This window comes from Homo sapiens, chromosome 1 (genome assembly GCF_000001405.40).
Source record: "Homo sapiens chromosome 1, GRCh38.p14 Primary Assembly".
NCBI lineage: Eukaryota > Metazoa > Chordata > Mammalia > Primates > Hominidae > Homo > Homo sapiens.
In genome coordinates this window covers 151,520,339-151,542,383 of record NC_000001.11, presented here as the reverse complement: position 1 = coordinate 151,542,383, position 22,045 = coordinate 151,520,339, and the positions used below count along the sequence as shown (strand labels likewise).

The 22,045-nt window shown below is 49.1% G+C and overlaps 2 protein-coding genes and 1 non-coding gene across 10 annotated transcripts in view, besides 5 other annotated features; 1 reads left to right on the top strand and 2 right to left on the bottom strand.

Annotated features, from left to right (window-relative positions):
- TUFT1 (tuftelin 1) overlaps positions 1-2,075 on the bottom strand; it is a 43,275-nt gene extending 41,200 nt beyond the window's left edge. For 4 of the 6 annotated variants that reach the window (NM_001301317.2, NM_020127.3, NM_001126337.2 and 1 more), the window contains exon 1: positions 1,958-2,075. Coding sequence is in view for 5 of the 6 variants with exons in the window: in NM_020127.3 (NP_064512.1) it covers positions 1,958-2,017 (60 nt within the window). In the remaining variant the exon portion in view is untranslated. Of the gene's footprint in view, positions 1-1,474 lie in introns of all 6 variants that reach the window. The other 2 variants (XM_017002223.3, XM_017002224.2) reach the window with 2 other exon arrangements.
- Positions 1,268-1,782: an enhancer, noted in NCBI's record as "H3K27ac hESC enhancer chr1:151513078-151513592 (GRCh37/hg19 assembly coordinates)". NCBI's record gives its function as "activates a minimal SCP1, AML or CMV promoter by ChIP-STARR-seq in primed H9 embryonic stem cells {active_cell/tissue: H9 hESC(primed)}" and the evidence as "EXISTENCE:reporter gene assay evidence [ECO:0000049][PMID:30033119]".
- Positions 1,783-2,298: an enhancer, noted in NCBI's record as "H3K27ac-H3K4me1 hESC enhancer chr1:151512562-151513077 (GRCh37/hg19 assembly coordinates)". NCBI's record gives its function as "activates a minimal SCP1, AML or CMV promoter by ChIP-STARR-seq in primed H9 embryonic stem cells {active_cell/tissue: H9 hESC(primed)}" and the evidence as "EXISTENCE:reporter gene assay evidence [ECO:0000049][PMID:30033119]".
- Positions 2,814-3,330: an enhancer, noted in NCBI's record as "H3K27ac-H3K4me1 hESC enhancer chr1:151511530-151512046 (GRCh37/hg19 assembly coordinates)". NCBI's record gives its function as "activates a minimal SCP1, AML or CMV promoter by ChIP-STARR-seq in naive H9 embryonic stem cells {active_cell/tissue: H9 hESC(naive)}" and the evidence as "EXISTENCE:reporter gene assay evidence [ECO:0000049][PMID:30033119]".
- The window catches only part of CGN (cingulin), a 28,523-nt gene continuing 10,169 nt past the window's right edge, over positions 3,692-22,045 (bottom strand). For 2 of the 3 annotated variants that reach the window (XM_005245365.6, NM_020770.3), the window contains exons 4-21: positions 21,901-21,970; positions 21,693-21,788; positions 18,823-18,950; positions 18,026-18,158; positions 17,498-17,710; positions 16,594-16,742; positions 15,277-15,409; positions 12,825-13,034; positions 12,269-12,475; positions 11,638-11,895; positions 9,812-9,982; positions 8,248-8,409; positions 7,253-7,342; positions 6,701-6,784; positions 6,486-6,604; positions 6,039-6,147; positions 5,491-5,654; positions 3,692-5,179 (exon numbers count right to left, since the gene is read on the bottom strand). In XM_005245365.6, the coding sequence (XP_005245422.1) occupies positions 5,038-5,179; positions 5,491-5,654; positions 6,039-6,147; positions 6,486-6,604; positions 6,701-6,784; positions 7,253-7,342; positions 8,248-8,409; positions 9,812-9,982; positions 11,638-11,895; positions 12,269-12,475; positions 12,825-13,034; positions 15,277-15,409; positions 16,594-16,742; positions 17,498-17,710; positions 18,026-18,158; positions 18,823-18,950; positions 21,693-21,788; positions 21,901-21,970 (2,638 nt within the window). In that variant the 3' untranslated portion in view covers positions 3,692-5,037. Of the gene's footprint in view, positions 5,180-5,490; positions 5,655-6,038; positions 6,148-6,485; positions 6,605-6,700; positions 6,785-7,252; positions 7,343-8,247; positions 8,410-9,811; positions 9,983-11,637; positions 11,896-12,268; positions 12,476-12,819; positions 13,035-15,276; positions 15,410-16,593; positions 16,743-17,497; positions 17,711-18,025; positions 18,159-18,822; positions 18,951-21,692; positions 21,789-21,900; positions 21,971-22,045 lie in introns of those variants that run through there. The other variant, XR_921902.3, reaches the window with a different exon arrangement.
- On the top strand, positions 14,446-14,553 carry LOC124900437 (small nucleolar RNA SNORA44). Its single transcript, XR_007067392.1, has one exon. It is a non-coding gene; the product is annotated as a small nucleolar RNA SNORA44 (small nucleolar RNA).
- Positions 17,671-18,870: an enhancer, noted in NCBI's record as "BRD4-independent group 4 enhancer chr1:151495990-151497189 (GRCh37/hg19 assembly coordinates)". NCBI's record gives its function as "activates an origin of replication core promoter dependent on BRD2, P300/CBP, MED14 and CDK7 cofactors, and independent of BRD4, by STARR-seq in HCT116 cells {active_cell/tissue: HCT116}" and the evidence as "EXISTENCE:reporter gene assay evidence [ECO:0000049][PMID:35650434]".
- Positions 18,825-19,360: an enhancer, noted in NCBI's record as "H3K4me1 hESC enhancer chr1:151495500-151496035 (GRCh37/hg19 assembly coordinates)". NCBI's record gives its function as "activates a minimal SCP1, AML or CMV promoter by ChIP-STARR-seq in naive H9 embryonic stem cells {active_cell/tissue: H9 hESC(naive)}" and the evidence as "EXISTENCE:reporter gene assay evidence [ECO:0000049][PMID:30033119]".

Here is a 22,045-nt window from a genome sequence, read left to right as displayed (position 1 = left end):
CAGGTGTGGTGGCATGTGCCTACAGTCTCAGCTACTTGGGGAGACTGAGGTAGGAGGATCTACTGAAACCAGGAGGTGGAGGTTGCAGTGAGCTGAGATCATGCCATTGCACTCCAGCCTGGGCAACAGAGCAAGGCCCTGTCTCAAAAAAAGAGAAAAGAAAAGAGAAAAGAAAAGAAAGGAAGAAAGAAAAAAAATAGTAGAGGTTAATGATTCATTAACACTGCCAGTGCCAACTTGGTCTTAGACTTCTTTCCGGATCTCTTTTCTATATAGCAAGCAAGCAAAAAGCAGCCCAAACATCCCTCTCCTTTATTTATCTCATACCCTTTTCCCTCAACTATTCCAAAAGAGAGAGCAAGAGCATGGAAGAGAAGCTATAGGTGGTGTGCATCTGAAGTCCCAGCTACTCAGGAGGCTGAGGCAGAAGGATTGAGGCCAGGAGTTCAAGGCTGTGGTGTGCTATGATTGCACCCGTGAAGAGCCACTGTACTGCAGCTCCGGCAACATAGCAAGACACTCGTCGCTTAAAAACAAAGAGCAGGGAGTAGGACTTGTGGCTGACACATAATGGATAGATTTCTTCCATCTCTTCAGAGTCTCATAGCTGGGGATGTGGCAGGCTACAGAAGAATGGGGTTTGGGCAACTGGGGTTGGCCAATAGCAACATCTGTATTTTAATGTGGCAAAAACACTCATAGCCCAGGCAGAAATGGAGAGGGGACTGGGAAAAGAACTAAATGACCATCTGTATTCTAAACCTGAAATGAGTTTGAAGAAGAGCCATAATCTAGCTGCAGTTGGGTTAGCTCTACCTCAAGAGCAGGATGAGGCAGGCAGAGAGTAAGGGAGTCAGATGTGGGAGGGGGGATGATACACAAGTTCCCCATCACCTTAGTTTTCATTTCACTCCCACCCACAATAGCTTGGAAATTGATGAAATAGTACACACCTAATCTGGGTTAAGTTCCCCAAAAGAGCCTAGAAACACTCAGCCACAAATTACCCTCCTCAGCCTCTGGAGAGGAAAAACCATATGGTCAGCTAGGGTGGGGAGAACTGGGACTGGGAGCCAGAGAAAGAGGAGAGAGGGGTAGACCAGCCTGCACTGGAGAACGCCCCCTTTCTCCGCAACCCTCTCCCCGTCCAGAAGCCTTCGCTTGGGTCACTTCCCTCCCCTTCTCGGCCCGGGTTCTGCATCCCCTTCCTCCACTATCCCAGGGCCTGGCGGCTGGAGACGGAAGCAAAACTAACACACCGTCCCAGGAAGCTATCGGCAGGCAGATAGAGGGAGGAAAACAAGAGAACTACAAGGGGGAAGAAGGAGAAATCCAAGACAAGAGGTGACCCCCGGGCGGAAAGCCCTATCCCTTAGCGAAAGGTAGAGTCCCTAGCCAATCTCGGAATAGTTTGAGTCCTACCGTCCCCTACTTGCCCCCCGCCCTCCAGTCCAAGCCCTGTAATTTACTCTACCATTTTTCTTGTTACTGATCATCCAAAGCACCATGATGAAATTCTTTGGAGGGCCTCGGAGGTCACCAGGACCCTCGACCCACGGGAAAGCCTAAGCCTCCTCGGCAGGACACAACGTCCAAAGGCGCTCAGGGACCCAGTCGCTTGAGCTCATTCTCTTATGACCCAATGTGGCTGCCCAAAAGACGCCTGAGACCCGCGGCCCAAGCACGGGCTCGCCGGCGCCGAGTCCCAGGCAGGAGCCGCAGTGTCCTACCAAAGGGCAGGGACGCCCCGAACCCTCCAGCCTCAAAGGAGTCTTCACCCCGCGACTCCCACTGCCCGTCGCAGGCAAAAGAATAAAAAGAGAGAAGCGCCGCGCAGGGCTGACCGCGCGAGCCGGGCACCAGGTGATGTCAGCCAACACGGCGCGGGGCACGGAAGGGGCGGACTTAGAAACCGGGAATACAAAACGGAGAAGACAGCGAGAGCGCTTTTTCTTACCGCCGCCTGGTCCTCTGGGTGCACGTCCACCAGGGTACACCAGTTCCGCGTCCCGTTCATCTTCCCTCGGGGTCGCAGCACACACGCCACTTGTCCACCCCGCTGTCTGGCTCCAACTGGGCGGGCGCGCGCGGAACCGCCCCCTTGTATAGGCCCATCAGGGGCGGGGCTGAAGATAGGCCGCGCCCCCAGTTCGCGGTTTCGCAGAGAACTAACGATAGGCGAGGAGGTGAGGTGGGCGGAGCCAATGGGTCTGGGACATGCCCCATCGGTGCTCGCATAGATTTACACAAAGGTGGGGCTTGGGAGCGACATGGGGCTGCTTTAACTGAACAGCTTTATCTGGAGTATGTGGTTGCACATTCTTCATTAATCTTGTCGCTTTCCATCTTTCCAAGATCAGTGTTGGTCAGAGGGAATCACCCTGCCTGCTCCTAGTGGATGAGGAGTTGGAACCTGCAAAAGCTTCCTTCCATACATGCTCCTCTCCCTATACGTAAGCCACCTGTAGGCTTTGTGGAGCTGAGTAAACCTTTCCTCCACCGCAGAAAGGCAGGCACCAAGGTCCAGCTCACTCAGACTGGCCTAAGCCAGTCTGGCAGGTGCACTTCCTTGGCAAGAGGCCCAGGAGGCCCAGTCAGCTTAGGCTCTGGGTGGGGCTTGTTTTGCAGAAGCTCTTTTACTGACGCTGCCCTTATATAGTTGGGAGAGGCGGGACACATTGCCTTAAAAGGAATTTGTGTTCGTGAGAAAGGATGAGCCTTGACTTTTCCAGTTGCATTTTCTCCCCAAGCCTAGGCTGGGATCTTGAGGGCCTAGAAGAGAGGGTTGGCCAAGCAGGACCCTGGAGCTTCGTCCCCGCCCAGCTGCTCTTGGCAGATGGCTTCTTCACTTGGCTGTGGTCCACAGAGACAGCAGACAGAATACTTTAGGAGGAGGTCTGACCCACTCCTGAAGGGATAGTACTCCTATACCTGGCAATAGGCTCTAGTGAAGGGCCAGCTCCCTCTTCAAGGCAACACTAGGGCAGGAACAGCAGAAATGTCCCTACCTCCCAGTTAGGGACTGGGTCCTATGTCAGTTAGGAATGAATGAGGATTTTTCTACCTGGGAAGTGAATGCTGGGGTTATCACTATGACCCAAGGGAATAAAACCCAGTTCTGGTCTGTTCTACTCTAACCCTCAAAAAGGCATTTACTGCTGGCCAGGCGCAGTGGCTTATGCCTGTAATCCCACCACTTTGGGAGGCCGAGGTGGGCGGATCACAAGGTCAGGAGTTTGAGACCAGCCTGACCAACACAGTGAAACGCCATCTCTACTAAAAATACAAAAATTAGCTGGGTGTGGAGGCACGCGCCTGTAATCCCAGCTACTCAGGAGGCTGAGGCAGGAGAATCGCTTGAACCCGGGAGGCAGAGGTTGCAGTGAGCTGAGATCATGCCATTACACTCCAGCCTGGGTGACAGAGTGAGACTCCGTCTCAAAAAAAAAAAAAAAAAAAAGGCATTTACTGTCCTTGTTCTTCCCAGAAGGTTGTTCAGGAGAGAAGAGAATGGGGCTGCTATAAACATCTCCAGGTTTCGTAGGTCCCATCTGCTCTGTTCTAAAGGGCCTCTGAAAAGTCAGGTGAAGAAAACTCCAGCTTCGGCTCCTAAGCTGTACAGTTAATATGACTTCATAAAATCTGGACCTCCAAATATGCCAAGAAAAAGAATGAGAAGACAAACCAAGGATTTCAATATAAATGTGTAATTTTAATATTTAATTTAAAATAAAACCAAGGCTGGATTGGATTGGGAAAGAACGTTTGATTTGCAGAAGAATATAGGAATTTTTTTAATCACGACATTACAAGTCATTTGTGAAAACAGCCTTCCTCCTGCCACCGGCTCCCTATACAACCTGCTTAGGAAATATGGAGGTGAATCATCCCCCTTACCTCTTCCCTACCAGGGCTTGGTTCTCCCCAAAATCCAAAGGAGAAATAAATGTCTTCCGTTGCCTCTTCCCATTTTTACAGTCAGCTTCTAACCCCTTGCAAAGCCCTGAATCAGAGCCAAGCACCTCAGAAAATGAGGGTCCCTTGGTTCTCTTATTGAAGTTGGGCACATGTGGTCAGAGAAGCCCCAAGGAAGGCCACAGGGACTGACACCTTTACTTTTGGAATTTGTGCAGCCAGTTGTCAGGGCTCCCAGGTGCAACCACCTTATAACCATATCCACAGTCACAGAGGAGGGAGAGGAGGAAGGATGAAAACCCTGAGCAGGACCAGACCCCCGCCACTTTATCATGACCCTACCAAAGTCCCTCTCCCAGGGGTCATTGGCAGAGAAACCCCAACAGCTCTCTCAATCAATCACTGGGGCAGCAGGGAAGGCTGAGGGCCCTGGCTGGGGAAAAGCTGGTCTTTGGAGAGGTATGAATGTGCAGATATAAAAAGCAAGAAGAGCATCCTTATCTCCTTGCCTTGGCTAAGGCACTGACAGGAAAAATGCAAGGTAGGAATGGCAAAGAGGGGAAAGGAAGAAGACAAAAATATAGGAACTGGAGGGGTATGGGGACTACCACATGGGCCCCATACTTGTGCAAAGAAATGGGTAGAGCCATGCCTGCATGTCTGTTACCCATAACATTCCCCTCACCCTGCTCCAGAGTGGAAGGAAAATGAGTTGCAGGAATCCAGGGAGCACAATAACATAGGGTATTTCCCTGAGCCTTAGGGTTAAGGGCTAAAGAATAAAGCTTTATACACATGGCAATTTCTATCCCTTCCTATCCTTCTCAGTCCCCATCAGCCTAATGCTGACCATCCTTCCACTATAAGAGAGATGAGGGAGGTGTCGGCACTTGAGGAAAAGGCTCAGTTGGCTTGAAATGTCCACTCCTACAGTGGAAAGTCCATCTATCAGCTTATTGCTGATGATTTTTTTTTTTTATCACCATCACTCTGACCCCTCCCTGTCTTAGGTCTGAATAATTGGGTCACCCATAGGAATGCAGAACCCAGGGTGGGCAGAGCAGAGCAGCACTTGCTGGGATAGGCCTCGAGCCTGGTTTCTGAGTCCTTGAGGACCACGAGCTAACAGGAGCTGGTCTGTAGGTTGCTCTCCGTAAGCAGTGATGCAATGGACGAGGGATCGTAGACACTGTCGAATTCCTCATCTGAGCTCAGCCCTTCGTTTTTGAGAGCTGACTCAGCAGCTGAGCGGGAAGCTTTGCGCCTGACTCAGAGAGAAGAATAATGGTTGGGGAGGGGAAAATAGAAATATTAAGACAGCCACCCTTTTTGTACAAAGGAAACCCCAATTCTTCTAAGGCCTAAAGTTTATTCACAAAATCCCCAACTAATCAGATTTGGGGAGGTACAGGATGGTGGCTGAGATACTAATAAATAAATATACTGGCTTCCAACCAGAAACAAGTGACTACACAGTACCATGTTAGAGATTCTCCTCCTTATCCAGCACAGGAGAGACCATTCCCTCCCTGCTCTAGTGTCCCTATGGAGCAAGGGCAAAAGGGTAGCCCATACCAGGAGTCCTTCTCCAGAGACTTGATCCGGGCCTGGAGCTGTTCATTGACCTCATGCTGCTCCTCCACCTCACGCTGGGCCTTCTTCCTCAGGCCGTCCAGTCGCTCAATTTCCTCTTCTGCTTCATCCACCTGACGCTTCAAAGCCTTCACCCTCAGGCTTAGCTGGGCAGGATACCAAGTCCACACATCTGAATAGCATCTACTACCATGGCCTGGGACCCTCCCCCATAACAATCTTGACAAGGTATAATTGCCGCTGGAAAAATGTGGCCTTGGGCAAGTTCCTTAACCTCACATGGTTGTCTTAGGGATTAAATGTATTAACACATGTGTAATACTTACAGAACCTAGCACATCATAAGCACTCAATATATACGCTTACCATGACTTCTCTAGTCTAGTCTTTTCAATCTAATCTCTGTCCTTATACAAGGAAAGTCTAAGTTTGGAGGACCTATAGGAGATAAGGGCCTCCCTTGGCTTTCAGGAAAACATATAATATATACCTGCCCCAGGTTGCTTGGCTCCAGGGTGCCATGTCCTCACCTGGTCTTTCTGGTCATTGACATGCTGCCGCTCGTCTTCAATCTGGATGGATAGTTCTTTAACTTTCCGCTCCAGTTTTCGATTGGTAGACTGCAGAACTGTCTTCTCCCTAAGGTGAGGTAGAAGAATGTCTATGAGTGTCCCCATTTCTAAGGGAATCCTAACTTGGCCCCCTACTGTCCCCAAGGACTCCTCTCAGCCATGAGCTCCACCATTAGACTGGGCAGGATCCAGGGCAGATTCAAAGAATGAGGGAGAGTGACGTCATTCACATTTCAGAATTTCTGCAACACTCTTTGCTCTCTATCAGGAGAAAGTGTTCCCTAAAGATCAGGCCAGGCTGGCCATATCTGAGGTGGAAGATGGAGGGAGCCACAGAGGAGAAAAGCCAAGAGGGAGGGAGGAAGAAAAGGAGGGAGGAAGGGAGGAAGGATAGGCTTATGTCACCTCTCTTCAGCCTGTAGCCGCTCCTGCAACAACTGATTCTGGGACTCAAGCTGAGAGAGGCTGGCACTAGGCTTCTGGAAGCCTTCTGAGCTGGCCAACCGGGTCTTCAGGTCCTTGTTCTGAGAGGGACAGGAAGCCTCCACAGTTAGCACTCCACTGGCCATTTTACTCACCTCCTGGGGTCCATCCCTAAGAATCCTCCCCTCCCCCATCACCTGTCTCTCCAAGGAGATTTTGTCACACTCCAGGTCCTGCCGAGCAGACCTTTCCTGCATGAGCTCTGTCCTCAGCTGATCCACCTAGTGGGGATGGGTGAGAGGACCAGACTTGGGGAGGGCTAAGGATGAACCAGCAAGCTGAACAAAGTGAGGCTGAGTCATGGGAGGATGGTCTCTGAACCCTGAATCCAAAAATTCCCAGGCAACTAAAAAATCACAGCCTATTCAAATGGGAGGGGCCAGAGAATGCAAACAGAGCCTCCTTCGTCCCTCCAGGAACTAGTATCCCTTGTAAACCAAAGAAGCCCCAATTCAGGTCAGAGAACAGCCCAGGCCACCAGGATCCCTTCCTCCATGCAAATCATTGGCTTCTTTCCACCCAAGGAAACTGGCCAACCTTTCCCAAAGCAGACAAAACCCTGAAGGAGACCCAGCCACGCACAGATTCGGCAGCCAGATGATGAAAGATGGGAGGGTAGAGTTGTTTTTGAGAGAACCAAGAGGTGATGCAGTCAGGGGTAAACAGAGATGAGGGGTGGGGGCGGTTACCTGGTCCCGGCCACGATTCACCCGATCTGTTAGCAGCTCCACGGTGTTCTTCTCCTCATCTAACTCTGTTTCCAGCCGTGAGACTTTTTCCTAGGACAGAAGAACAAGTAATTCTGTCCCAAATGCTGGACACCAGAATGCCAAACTCAGACCAGGAGCCTCTCAAACTCCAGCATTAACAGACTTTTCTCTCTTGCACATCCCAGTAACCTTTTGGTACTTGCCTGGACCCAGAGCCACTATGGAGCCAGCGCCCTCTACTGACCAGATGTGGCATCATGGGCAGGTCGGGGCCATGCTCTGGTGACGGCCCTTTGACAGAAAGGCAAACCCCAGAATCTACTCTTCATTGGAAAACCTTATTTCTCTAATGGGAAAAGAGAGAGAAACCCAAGTACCTGGGCCAAGGCTGAGGTGAAGAGACTCAGAAACTGAGGTACTGGAGGCAGTACCACGTAGAGGCTAAGAGTATGTACATGGGACCAGACTGTCCAGTCTGAAAATCAGATTTACCACTTCCTGGCAGTAGACCATGGACAAGTTCATCTCTCTGTGCCTCAGTTTCCTTCATCTGTAAAATGGAGAAAACAAGACTACCTACCCCACAGAGTTATTCTGAGGATTAAGTCTTAAGTGCCTATCACACAGCACAATATGTTTGCTGCTGCTATTATTATTATCAAATATAGCAAACTGAAGAATACTGTTCACTCTAAAGGGGAAACCCACTGCTCAGCTCCAGCCAACTGTTGCCATGCAGACTCAGGACAAGACACTCAGTATTACCATATCTGCCAAATACAAAAGAAACTAGAAATCCAAATTTTTAGGTGACCTCTATAAATTTCTAAACATTGGCAATTGATTCAAAGTTGTTGAAAATACTGCAGCCAAACAAAACTCATCAACTGTGGGCTGTCGGTTTTGACCGCTAGTACAGAAAGAGGCTTGGAAGTCCCACCCTTTTTCCACAGGTCACACCTCAGTGCCCTCACCTCGAGACCCTTCAGCTGCCGGGCCCTGTCGTCCTGGGAACGCTTCTTGTTCTCTGCCTCTTGCTCCAGCCCCTGCAGTCGCTGGGCCAGTAGCTCTTTGTCCAGCCGGGCTGTGTCCCGCTCAGCCTGGGATGCCTGCAGGGCCTGCCGCAGCCTCTGGATCTGGGCAGGGGGTAAAAATGCCACAGCTCAGTGTAGTGAGAAGGTGAGGGTTGAGGGGCAGGAGCAGTCCAGCCCAGTGGGCAGAAACATTTCATCACTGTCACTCTTTAGAATTACCAGTGGCATGATGACAATAAAAAGCAAACTGACTTTTCATCCATTTTCTTTTTTTTTCATTTTTTAGATGGAGTCTCGCTCTGTCGCCCAGGCTGGAGTACAGTGGTGCGATCTCAGCTTACAGCAATCTCCACCTCCCAGGTTCAAGTGATTCTCCTGCCTCGGCCTCCCGAGTAGCTGGGACTACAGGCATGTGCCACCACGCTTGGCTAATTTTTTGTATTTTTAGTAGAGACGGGGTTTCACCGTGTTAGCCAAGATGGTCTCAATCTCCTGACCTCGTGATCTGCCCGCCACAGCCTCCCAAAGTGCTGGGATTACAGGCAAGAGCCACTGCACCTGCCCTCATTAATTTCCTTTATTGTTTTTGTTTTTGTTTTTTGAGATGGAGTCTTGCTCTGTCGCCCAGGCTGGAATGCAGTGGCACAATCGCGGCTCACTGCAACCTCCACCTCCCAGGTTCAAGCAATTCTCCTGCCTCAGCCTCCTGAGTAGCTGGGACTACAGGCATGCACCACCACGCTCAGCTAATTTTTGTATTTTTAGTAAAGACAAGGTTTCACCATGTTGGCCAGGCTGGTCTTGAACACCTGACCTCATGATCTGCCCGCCTCAGCCTCCCAACGTGCTGGGATTACAGGCGTGAGCCACCGTCCTCAGCTTCTTTATTGTTTTTAAAGTCTCTACACAACTTGGAATCACCTGAGGAGTTTTTTTAAATTCTGATCCTGGATCCCATCCCCAGAGATGATGACTGAAGTGGTATGGGATACAGCCTGGGTGTGGGGATTTTTAAAAATCTCCTCAGGTGGCTCTAAGCTACAGAATTTGAAAATCACTGCTCTACAGACAATATATTCCTCCACCCTGCAAGTCATTAGACCTAAACCTGGGCCCCAGGGACCCTTGGCCACAGGTTCAGTTAAGAGGCAAGGACCGGGCTGGGCGCAGTGGCTCATGCCTGTTATCCTAGCATTTTGGGAGGCCGAGGAGGGCGGATCACGAGGTCAGGAGATTGAGACCATCCTGGCTAACACGGTGAAACCCCGTCTCTACTGAAAATATAAAAAATTAGCCAGGCGTGGTGGCAGGCACCTGTAGTCCCAGCTACTTGTGAGGCTGAGGCAGGAGAATGGTGTGAACCCCGGAGGCAGAGCTTGCAGTGAGCCAAGATCGCGCCACTGAACTCCAGCCTGGGCGACAGAGTGAGACTCTGTCTCGGACAAAAAAAAAAAAAAAAAAAAAGAGGCAAGGACCTTCAAACCCAAGGATATTAGACTTCTACCTCATCCTGAAGTCGGCTCAGTCCTCCAGAGGTCTTCTCAGCCTCACTGGCCCAATCCTTGGCCTGGCGCTGGGCATCTGCCACCTCCCGCCGGGCCTTTTCCTTATAATCCTCCAGCTGGGCCTGGAGCTGCTGCAGGGCTTGCTTAGAGTCCTCCCCGATCTTCTCCAACTGAAACACAGAGAAAAGGGTCTTCAGCACTGTACATAAATGACCCTCTCCAGGCCCAGACTCCCAAGACTCTCCCCTAAGGGTCTCCTTCCTGACAAGGCAGCCCTCTCTTGCTCTTTCCTGGGCCTAGGTTCCTAGTATAGCTAATAGTTATATACAGATGTCTGGGTTCAAATCCTGGCTCTACCACTTACTGGTGACCATGTGCAAGTTACTTATCTCTCTGGGTCTCAGTCCCCCATCTGTAAAATGGGATTAAAAATAGTAACTATATCACAAGGTGTTGTGAGAATTACATTAGTTAATTATGTGAAGTTCTGTACTTACAACAGTGCCTGATACAAAGTAAGCCTTAAATGACCATTTCAGCAAACCCAAGGTGCCAATGATTATACGGCGTACCACTAAGAAAAATATGCCAATTAAACTATAACATACCATAAGGTATAAGACACAACTCTATTTCAGAAATGATAAAATGTGCATTTTTCATTGACAAATGATAAGATGTGCATTTTTCATTGACAAATGATAAGATGTGCATTTTTCATTGACAAATGATAAGATGTGCATTTTTCATTGACAAATGATAAAATGTGCACTTTAGAATTGATGTAACATATTACGTGTTTGCTCTTGCTTTACAAAAAGATTGGGAGGAGAACCTTAGCAGCAAAAGCAATTTATTTCCTTTTCTTTTTTCTTTCTTTTCTCCTTCCCCTCACCCAAATTTAAAATTCTACCAATGAAGATTTTTTTTTTTGACAGGCTCTTGCTGTAGCGCAGTGGGGCAGTCACAGCTCACTGCAGCCTCAACCTCCTGGGCTCAAGCAATCCTACGTCAGCCTTCCGAGTAGCTGGGAATACAGATGTCTGGGTTCAAATCCTGGCTCTACCACTAATTAGCAACCATAGGCAAGTTACTTATCTTCTCTGGGTCTCAATTCCCCATCTATAAAGAGAAACTGAGGAACAAGCCACCACAGCAGGCTAATTTTATTTTTAAGTAGAGACAGAGTCTTATTATGTTGCCCAAGCTGGCCATTGAAGATTCTTGTATTTAGGTTTTGTAGACTCCCAAGGGAGAATCCCAGGAGATGTTCTCCAAGAATGAAGACCATAAAGGAATAGGATGTAAGGGAAAGAGCAAAAACATGGAGGGGAGGTAGGAAGGATGCCCCTTCCAGAAGATTTGGTCTTGGTCTTCCTAACAATGAACTTGAGGAAAGCAAACATCACACATTCTTTTTTTTTTTTTCTTAAGACAGAGTCTTGCTCTGTCACCCAGGCTGAAGTGCAGTGGCATGATCTCGCCTCACTGCAACCTCCACCTTCCGGGTGCAAGTGACTCTCCTGCATCACCCTCCTGAGTAGCTGGGACTACAGGCATGAGCCACCAAGCCCGGCTAATTTTTTGTATTTTTAGTAGAGACAGAGTTTTGCTATGTTGGCCAGGCTGGTCTCAAACTCCTGACCTCGGGTATCTGCCTACCTCAGCCTCTCAAAGTGCTGGAATTACAGGAGTGAGTCACCGCACCTGGCCATAATCATCACACATTCTGACTAACCCCTCTCCCCCAAGCCCCTGTCCTCTCAGGCCAGCTTCTGGATGAGCTGGGCCTCTTCCTAAAGGCCCAGAATACCCCATGCCCCACCTCCTTGTTCAGTCGGTCCACAGTCCTGTCCAGCAAACGCTTCTGCTCCTCCAGCTCAGCCTTGCCTCGCCGGAGCACCTCCCGCTGCTTCCCTTCCTCCTCCAGGGCCCGGTTCAGTGTCTGCTGCTCCTGCCCCAGGCGGGCCAGCCCCCGCTGAGCCTCCTCTAGGCGTGCCTCCAGTGCCCGCTTGGCTGCTGCCAGACTCCCCTCCTCTTCCTGGGACGCATTCAGGGCCTCCTCCAGCTGCTGTTTCTCTGCCTGGGAGGTAGGGAAGCAGGGTTGGACTGAGAAAAGGTAAAACTTGGGTTCAAGTCATTTGGAGGTGGGTAGCTGGGCAGGAGAAAGGAGGTATTTATGAAAATGATGTGCAATGAAAACAGGCTCCTAGCAAAGAAATCAGGACACATAGAGCAAGCAAAGGGTGAGAAATAAGAAACAAAACTACCAGTGCAAAGACTGAACATTGGCGCCAAAGTATACACCAGGAAATAAACCCAAGGTTAACAGAGCAGGTTTGGGGAGGCAAAACAGATGCACACTAAGGGCAAAGTGAAACTGATGGCTAACTACTTAGCATAGGAGTATTTCACCAGGGCTGAGCAGAGAGGGCTGGGAGGGCAGAACCACTGACCTCCAGCCGCTGCAGCTTGTCCCGTAGTCGTGCCTCCACCGCTTCCCCACCATCCACCAGACCTCGAGTCTCCTTCAGCTGCTGCTCCAAACCCAGGATGCGCCGGCGGAATTCGTCATTTTCCTCCTGGGTCTCCCGAAGCGTCGTCTCCACTGCGGCCCGCCGCTGCCCCAGCACTGTTGCCTCTGCCTCGGCCACCATCTTAGCCTAAGGACGGTTCAGGGGGTGGCAGCTCAGACCCCAGGGCGTGGCAGCTCAGACCCCAGGGCTTGGGGCCATTGACCACACCCAGGAAAGCCATCCCAAAGACAGCCCATAAGAATGAGGCTTAAAGAGAGCAGCTGCCACCAGCCAGACGCTTCTCTGAGAATCCCACCCCTACACAGATACAGGTATCCTCCCCCTGCCAAATCCTGGCTTCTTTGAACCACATGCCTAGGACCCAGGAGCTGGTCAGTACATACCCATGACAGGTAACTTTCCACACCCTCTGGCTCCTCAGCCCTCCAGACACCCTCAGCCTCCACCTCCTAAGCCCTGTGCCCACTCCCCTTGCCTTGGAAGCCTCTTCACAGTCCTGTCGCAGTTGCTGGAGGGTCTTTTGTAGCTGGAGGTTCTGTTCTTCCAGCTCCCGACCTCGATCAGCCTCGACCCTCAGGACCGCCAGCTGCTTCTCCAACTCCCGGTCCCGGTGTCGCCCAGCCACCTCCTGGCTCTGCCGTTCTGCCTGCAGTTCCTTAAGCTCCTCCTGTGTCCGGAGCAGCTCCTGGAAGGAAACGGGAATGGTGATGGGGCACCCAGAGCCAGACTAAGATACCTGAATGTGGAGAAGCTGAAACTCTCATACACTGCCAAGGGAATAAAAACTGATGTGGCCACTTTGGAAAGTAGTTTGGCAGTTTCTCAAAAAGTTAAACACAGATTTACCATTTATATCACCAGCAATTCCACTCTTAGGTAACCCAAGAGAACCGAAAATATGTGTTCACAAAAAAACTTATACGCGAATGTTCATAGTAGCATTATTCATTATAGCCCAGATGGATACACAACCCAGATGTCCACGAATTGATGACTGGACTAAACACGGTATACCCACAGAGTGGAATGTTATTCAGCCATAAAAAGGAATGAAGTACTCATACTTGCTACCACATGGACAAACCTTGAAAACACTATGCTAGGTGAAAGAAGCCAGACCCTTAAGGCCCATATATTATAGGATTCAATTATATTAAATATCCAGAATAGGTAAATCCAGAGACAAAAAGTAGATTAGTGGTTGCCATTGGGTGGGGGGAATTATTGCTAATGGGTTTGGCGCCTTTGAGGGGGTAATGAAAATGTTCTGTAATTAAATAGTGATGATGGTTGTACAACTTTGTTAATATAATAAAAACCACTGGGGGCCAGGCGCCAGTGGCTCATGCCTGCAGTTTGGGAGGCTGAGGCGGGTGGATCACCTGAGGTCAGGAGTTCAAAACCAGCCTGGACAACATGGTGAAACCCTGTCTCTACCAAAAATACAAAAATTAGCCGGGCGTGGTGGTGTGTGCCTGTAATCCCAGCTGCTTGGGAAGCTGAGGCAGGAGAATGGCTTGAACCAGAAGGCAGAGGTTGCAGTGAGCCGAGATTGTGCCACTGCACTCCAGCTTGGGTAGCAGAGTAAGACTCCATCTCAAAAAGAAAAAAAAAACCCATTGGATTGTACACAAAGATGACTTTTATAGCATGTAAAATATAACTCCATAAAAAAAAAAATACCATGAAGGGAGAGTACATGAAGGTATGGCTAGTAAGGCTGGTTGTTTAAAAAAAATACAGTGTGAGGCTGGGTGCGGTGGCTCACGCCTGTAATCCCGGCACTTTGGGAGGCCAAGGAGGGCGGATCACAAGGTCAGGAGATCAAGACCAACCTGGTTAACACGGTGAAACCATGTTTCACGGTGAAACACTGAGTACGTGTATTTTTTTTGTAAAAATACAAAAAAAATTAGCCGGGCGTGGTGGTGGGCGCCTGTAGTCCCAGCAACTCGGGAGGCTGAGGCAGGAGAACGGCGTGAACCCAGGAGGCGGAGCTTGCAGTGAGCCGAGATCACGCCACTGCATTCCACCCTGGGTGACAGAGTGAGACTCCGTCTCAAAAAAAAAAAAAAAAAAAAAAATATATATATATATATAGTGTGGCCATGGGATCTCCAACTGCATGCAAGAGCAACCTGGAGAGACTTTGACAGAACAGGTCAGCACAATCCCTGCAGCTGCCACTTGTCTTTCGTGTGTGTGTGTGTGTGTGTGTGTGTGTGTATAAAACCAAAATGTGTGACACAATAAATGCTGGCACAGCTCTGATTTCTTTTAAAAAGAAAATTAAAATAGGAGTTCTGGTTCTAATTATTAGCTATTAGCTACTTCTGAAATTCAGAAAGTACCATAATTAGGCTAAAGGGTTATATAATATGTAGTGAATCTTCAATGTAATACCATATACTCTGCTATTTTTCTTTTGCTAATTAGTTTTGTTACATTAGTAACCAGGCCATGCCAACACAAGTATTCCAGTCCATGTGATGATATTTCTCAATGTAAATTAATAAACTGAAATTCTAATGGTAAACATTTTTTCATAAATGTAGTTAGAGACCCCTCTGAAAGACAAAGCAGCTTTTGCCATGCTGACCAAATTAGATTTCTGAGCCTGCAAAAATCATCCTGGAGTTTCACAAATCCACCTAAATGCTGCTACCCATGACGTCTCTTGGGAGTCGGCCAGCAGCCTCTGGCTATACCCCAACCTGGGTTCTGAGAGCACTTTCCATTAGAAACCTCTATGCTCAATGAGGAGACTGGTGCTGCTGTGCTGGAAAGAGATCAAGCTGAGCAGGCAGGATGAGGCCTGGAAACCAAGCACACAGGAGATAGCCCCACTAGCAAGAAGGCCCTCATGGAGAGGTAAGGCAGGTGTTCATCACCCCTACCTACCATTCTGCCCCCCAATTCCCAAATACCTTCTTGAGCACCTCAACCTGGCGAGTATCTCCAGCACTAGCTCGGGCCTGCTCTAATTCCCTCTGCAAGACCTCTATCTTCTCTCCAAGCTCCTCTTCCATCTCCTCCTTCTCCATTCGCAGCTGCAGGAGTCTGAGCCAGGCAAGGTGAAATAAAGGGGAAAGGGAACAGAGTAAGGCCACATGCCTGGGGGAGGTTAGCATGACAATAAAAGCCACCTCTCTGGAGGCCAACACGCTGGGCACCAACTCTCAAGAGGAAGGAAGGTGAACGTGGAAAAGAGCAGTTTGAGAAATGGGAGAGTAAGAGCATACCATAGATAGAAAGGAAGTGGGCCAGGCATGGTGGCTCATGCCTGTAATCCCAGCAATTTGGGAGGCCAAGGCAGATGGATCACTTGAGCCCAGGAGTTCAAGACCAGCCTGGGCAACATAATGAAACCCCGTCTCTACAAAAAATACAAAAATTAGCCAAGTGTGGTGGTGCATGCCTATAGTCCCACCTATTCGGGAGGCTGAGGTGGGAGGATGGCTTGAGCCCAGGAGGTGGAGGTTGCAGTGAGCCCAGACTGTGCCACTGCACTCCAGCCTGGGCAACAGAGCAAGACCCTGTCTCAAAAAAAAGAAGAAAGGGACTGGGTGCAGTGGCTCACGCCTGTAATCCCAGCGTTTTGGGGGGCCGAGGTGGGAGGATCACGAAGTCAGGAGTTCAAGACCAGCCTGGCCAATATGGTGAAACCCCGTCTCTACTAAAAATACAAAAAACCCAGGCCTAGTGGCAGGCGCCTATAATCCCAGCTACTCGGGAGGCTGAGGCAGGAGAATCGCTTGAACCCAGGAGGCGGAGGCTGCAGTGAGCCAAGACTGCACCACTGCACTCTAGCCTGGGCAACAGAGTGTGACTCCATCTCAAAAAAAAAAAAAAAGGAGAAAGGGGGCCAGGCGCAGCGGCTCACACCCGTAATCCCAGTGCTTTGGGAGGCAAGGTGGACAGATCACCTGAGGTCAGGAGTTCGAGACTGGCCTGGCCAACATGGTAAAACCTCATCTCTACTAAAAATACAAAAATTAGCTGGGCGTAGTGGCATGCGCCTGTAATCCCAGCTACTTGGGAGGCTGAGGCAGGAGAATCTGTTCAACTCAGGAGGCAGAGGTTGCAGTGAGCCAAGATCGTGCCATGACACTCCAGCCTGGGAAACAAGAGCGAAACTCTGTCCCAAAAAATAAATTAAAATTAAAATTAAAATTAAAAATTAAAAAAAAGAAAGGAAGTGGCATATGAATCATGGGTATTTCTGAGAGGGCCAATGTCCTTACTCCTGCTTGGTGGCTCTAAGATCCTCCTTGTTCTTCTGGAACATACTCTGCCAATGCCCTGTCTCCTCTGAAGTCTCCTCCAGCTCCCTCTGCAGCCCTCGCACAAGGGCTGACATCTTCTGCCTCTCGGCCTCCAGCACTGCATGGTCCTAGAGAAGGGGAGAGTTGGACACCAGAAGGCTCAGAGGGAAGAGGTCACTTCAAATCAAAGTGTGAGTGTGTACAAGGAAAGGCTTAGACCCAGAGGGCACCATGCCAGGTGCACCCCCTGACACTCTTGTGGTACCTGGTACAATGCTAGCAGAGATTCTCTCCTCAAGTCACAGTCCACCCCTCTATCATCTACAGGAAACCTCCCCAGTTATTTCCCCTTGGGACTTTTTATTTTTAGGGGGACAGAGTCTCGCTGTGTTGCCCAGGGTGAAGTGCAATGGCATGATCTCGGCTCACTGCAACCTCCGCTTCCTTGGTTCAAGCGATTCTCCTGCCTTAGCCTCCCAAGTAGCTAGGACTACAAGTACGCATCACTACACCCAGCTAAGTTTTTGTATTTTTGGCAGAGATGGGGTTTCTCCATGTTACCCAGGCTGGTCTCTAACTTCCTGAGCTCAAGCAGTCCACCCGCCTCAGCCTCCCAAAGTGCTGGGATTACATGCATGAGCTACCGCACCCAGTCCCCCTTGGGACTTTTGTCACACAACCTCAAGGTACTTCTGGCCTGTACTCCCTCCCTCTGCCCCTATAGTTTTCCTGCCCAAGGTTTTCAGCAGATCTCACTGTGTCCTTTAGGAGGAGAGGGGGAGTTCCCAGTTGCAACCATGAAAAGTCCAAAAGTCCAAGATCCCAAGGCAGCCTTGTTCTCCAGCAGTGCCCTCCTCTCTCAGACCCTGCTCTTGTCACATGCCTGGGTTGCATCTTGCATGCTCCTGCGGAGCTGCTCTGTGTCTCGCTGGTACTGCTGCCGGACATGTTCCACCTCCTGGTCACGGGAGGCTACCTCCTCTTTCAGGGCCCCCTTCAGGGCTGTCAACTCCCGCTCCCGCAGCCTCAGCTGCTCCTCTACTCGCTGTTTCCCCTCCAAGACCTCTTCCAGAAGTTCCCGGGTCTCTAACAGGTCCTGGAGAAAATAAAGGAAGAAGTACAGGGGTGACCATATTAGAATCCATCTGTTTATCAATTCACTGAGTCAAAAAATATTTATCGTATTAGGCACAGTACCAGGTGCTCTAGTACCAGTACTGGAGCCCAGAATGATAGGTTTCCTTTATCCTAACTCTAGTCCCAACACACCATTGAATCTACCTGAAAGCACACTGAGTACCTGTAATCAGCCACCCACTCCTCATACTTTGGGGAAACCATGGATGAGCAGACTTGAGGATGCTCCAACTGAGAAAAAGCAGAGGCTGGGGCATATGACCCCAGACCCTACCTTCAGTAACACCTCCTTAGCAGGCTCAGGACCCTGGACATGTTTCAGCTTGTTCTGCAGCTCCATCACCTGGGTCTCCAGCCCATGTCGTAAATCTTCACCCTGGTCCAAGAGGCGCTTCATGTTCTGGAGCCTAATAATAGATAACATTATTGCACACTATGTGTCAGGCAGTTCTCTAAACGCATCATATATTTTAATTCATATTTATTAATGCATTTAAACTTCCTTCCTTCAAATCTTGATGAGGCCTCCCCTGATTTTTGCAACCTGCCCCGCTACAACCTGGCCCTCCTGATCTGCCTTACCCTGTTGTATTTACTGCCTTCTCGTGTGTTACAAATTTACTTGCAAAATATGTTTGTTTACTGTCTGTTCCCTCTCAGTAGAAACTAAGCTTCTGGAGAGCGAGCCCTTCATCTATAGGGTTCACTGATGTGTCTTGGGAACCTAGATTAATGCCTGTCACAGCATTCTTGATGAAACATCTGCTGAATGGATGACTGAATCCTTACAATGATCCTGTGAGGTAGGTACTATTATTAAGTCTATTTTATAGCTTAAGAATCTGAGACAGAGGCAAACCCAGGTAGCTTAACTCCAAATCATGCACTACCACCATTATTGATAAAGAAGGTAGAGAGAAAGGCCCTATCCTGTCCTTAAACCAACACTGCCCCTTTCAGCTTCTGGAGATTTCCTTCTGTCTCCTTCAACCCTAGGGGCAAAGAGGGAGTGGCCTCTAAACCTGGCCTAGGCCCCCAAGCAGCCCGAGGTGCGCCACCAGCTGCACTCACTCCTTGTTGCTCTGCTGGGCCTCCCCCTTCCTCCTCTCCAGCAGCTCCTGCAGTCGGCTGCACTCTTCTGTTTTCTCCTCCAGCTGCCGCTCCAGCCCAACTTGGGATGGCTCTAGCTTCTGCCGCTTCTGTAAAAGGGAATGAGAGTACAGCAGGTAGAGGGTAGGGAAAGCCTCTCAGAAAGACTCAGAATAATGGGAATGTCTAACACTCATTGGACACTTGCTGTATGATAGACACTATACTTAGGACCTTATGTGTATTATCCACATCTAATCCTCATAACTAGCCTTGGTACTTGTGATGATGTAAAATATGTTCACAAATTATCTGACATTTCTTTCAAAAGATAAAGCCTAATTCTGTTTGCCTCGAGCACGGGCTTGACTTAGGGGCTTCCTTCTAACAAACAGAAAAAGGAGGACGTGATGAGTAAATTCTGATGTTAGGTCATAAAAAGGCATTGCAGCTTTTCTCTTGGATCCCTCACTCTGGGAAAAAAATAGCTGTTATATTGTGAGGATACTCAAAAGTAGCTCTGTGAGGAAGGCCAAACAGCCAGGAACTGAGGTTTACAACCAACAGCCATTTGATTAAGCTGGGTTTTTATTATTTTTATTGATTTTTTTTTTTTCTTGGTGTTTTGTTTTGAGATGGAGTTTTGCTCTTGCCTAGGCTGGAGTGCAATGGCGAGATCTCAGCTCACCGCAACCTCCACCTCCCGGGTTCAAGCAATTCTCGTGCCTCAGCCTCCTAAGTAGCTGGGATTACAGGCATGCATCACCTCACCTGGCTAATTTTTGTATTATTAGTAGAGACAGGGTTTCTCCATGTTGGTCAGGCTGGTCTCAAACTCCCGACCTCAGGTAATCTGTCCACCTCAGCCTCCCACAGCGCCCGGCCTGGTTTTTTGTTTTTTTTGTTTGTTTGTTTTTTGAGATGGAGTCTCGCTCTGTTGCCCAAGCTGGAGTGCAGTGGCGCAATCTCGGCTCATGGCAACCTCTGCCTCCCAGGTTCAAGCAAGTCTCCCTGCCTCAGCCTCCCAAGCAGCAGGGATTACAGATGCCTGCCACCATGCCCAACTAATTTTTGTATTTTCAGTAGAGACAGGGTTTCACCATGTTGGCCAGGCTGGTCTCAAACTCCTGACCTCAGGTGATCCACCCACCTCAGCCTCCCAAAGGGCTGGGATTATGGGTGTGAGCCATTGCACCCAGCCAATTAAGCTGGTTTTGTCTATCTTATTCATTAAACTGGTTTTGTTTGCTTCATTCACTTATTTATATTTTTTTGAGACAGGGTCTTGCTCTGGCACCCAGGCTGGAGTGCAGCAGTGCAATCACAGCTCACTGCAGTCTTAACCTCCTGGGCTCAAAAAATCCTCCCACTTCAGTCTCCTAAGTAGCTGGAACTACAGGCACATGCCATCACATCTGGCTAATTTTTTGTAGAGGCGGGTTCTCACTATGTTGCCCAGGCTGGTCTCAAACTCCTGGGTTCAAGTGGTCCTCCCACCTTGCCCTCCCAAAGTGCTGGGATTATAGGCGTAAGCCACCATGCCTGGCCCTGAGTAAGCCATTTTAGAAGCAGATCCTCCAATTTACTTCTTTTGGCCACAGCCAGAAGCTGGACTGGAACCTTATAACAGGCTCAGAGCCACAATTACCCTGTTAAGCTGATCCCAGGTTCTTCATCCTCAGACTCTGGGAAATGCTTTTTTTTTGAGAAAGAGTTTCACTCTTGTTGCCCAGGCTGGAGTGCAATGGCAGGATCTCAGCTCACCACAACCTCCACCTCCCGGGTGCAAGTAATTCTCCTGCCTCAGCCTCCCAAGTAGCTGGGATTACAGGCATGTGCCACCATACCAGGCTAATTTTGTATTTTTAGTAGAGACAGGATTTCTCCATGTTGGTCAGGCTGGTCTCAAACTCCCAACCTCAGGTGATCTGCCTGCCTCAGCCTCCCAAAGGATTACAGGTGTGAGCCACTGCGCCCGGCTGGGAAATGTTTGTTTAAAGCTATTGAGTTTTGGGTAATTTGTTACACAGCAATAGTTAATTAATATAGTACTATCATAATCCCCACTTTACAATTTAGGAAACAGAGGCTTAGAACATTTAAAGAACTTGCCCAAGGTCAGTTACACAGCCAACAAGTAACAGAACCAGGATTTGAACCCAGTTAGTTTGGCTCCACAGCCAATCACTTAATCATTACACTACAGTGATTTCCAAAAGACAAGGGAAGTTACAATCCAACATTTATTGAGCACCAACTACACACAAACCAATATGATGAAAGGCAGAAGACATGTTTTTAAAAAGGGTACACTGGCTTTAGAATAAGACTGACCCGGATTTTTTCATTCCTCTCTGCAACTTACTACCATAGGCAATTTACTTAGCCTCTCTGATCTTCAGTTTTCTCATCAGAAAAGGGTCCAGAATAGGTATTCACAGGGTAACTATAATGATTACAGTACCCAGGACAGTACATACTACCAAAATTATACTCAATAAATGATAGCTACTACTATTGCCATTATTATGATAATGATAAAAAAAAATTGAGGCACAGAGAATGTAAGTAATTTTCTTAAGTTTTATATAGCTAGTAAGGGGCAGAGCCAGGATGGGAACTCCCAAAGGGAGTGGAATGGAAGGTAGGTAGATTCCTAATGTGCTCTGCCTCCCTAACCCCCACAGAACCCCAGAAGTCCTTCCTGGAATTAGTACACATTCTTGTCTCTTGTCTCATAAGACACAAACATGCTTGTTCCATTGCTTAGAAGGGTCAGCTCAGCCCATCTCCAGGCCAAGGCTTTTTCCCTGTTTTCCTTCATGCCTCCGGCACCTCTAACCTTTCCTTACCTTCACCTCTTCATCCAGCTTTCGCTGTAGCTCCTCCACTTTTCGGGTAAGCTCACCCTGCCCTGCCACGGCCTTAGTAGAACCAGAAGAAACCATCTGCCAGAGATATGGGGGGTGTGGGGGAAGGGAGTGAGTCCAAGTCTGGATCCCCTGAGGCCCTCAAAGCTCTAACCTTGACCCTTGCTCCCATCCAGAGAAGGCCACTCACCACTAGAGGCTGCATCTTCTCCAGCACCAAACTAACCTTCCTCCTCACAGAGGTTTCACTTTCTGAGCTTCTAGAGGATAAAAGGATAGAAGCAAGGGTTAGGGGAGGAAAGAGGTAGCAGAGATCAGGAAAGGGTAAAATCAGG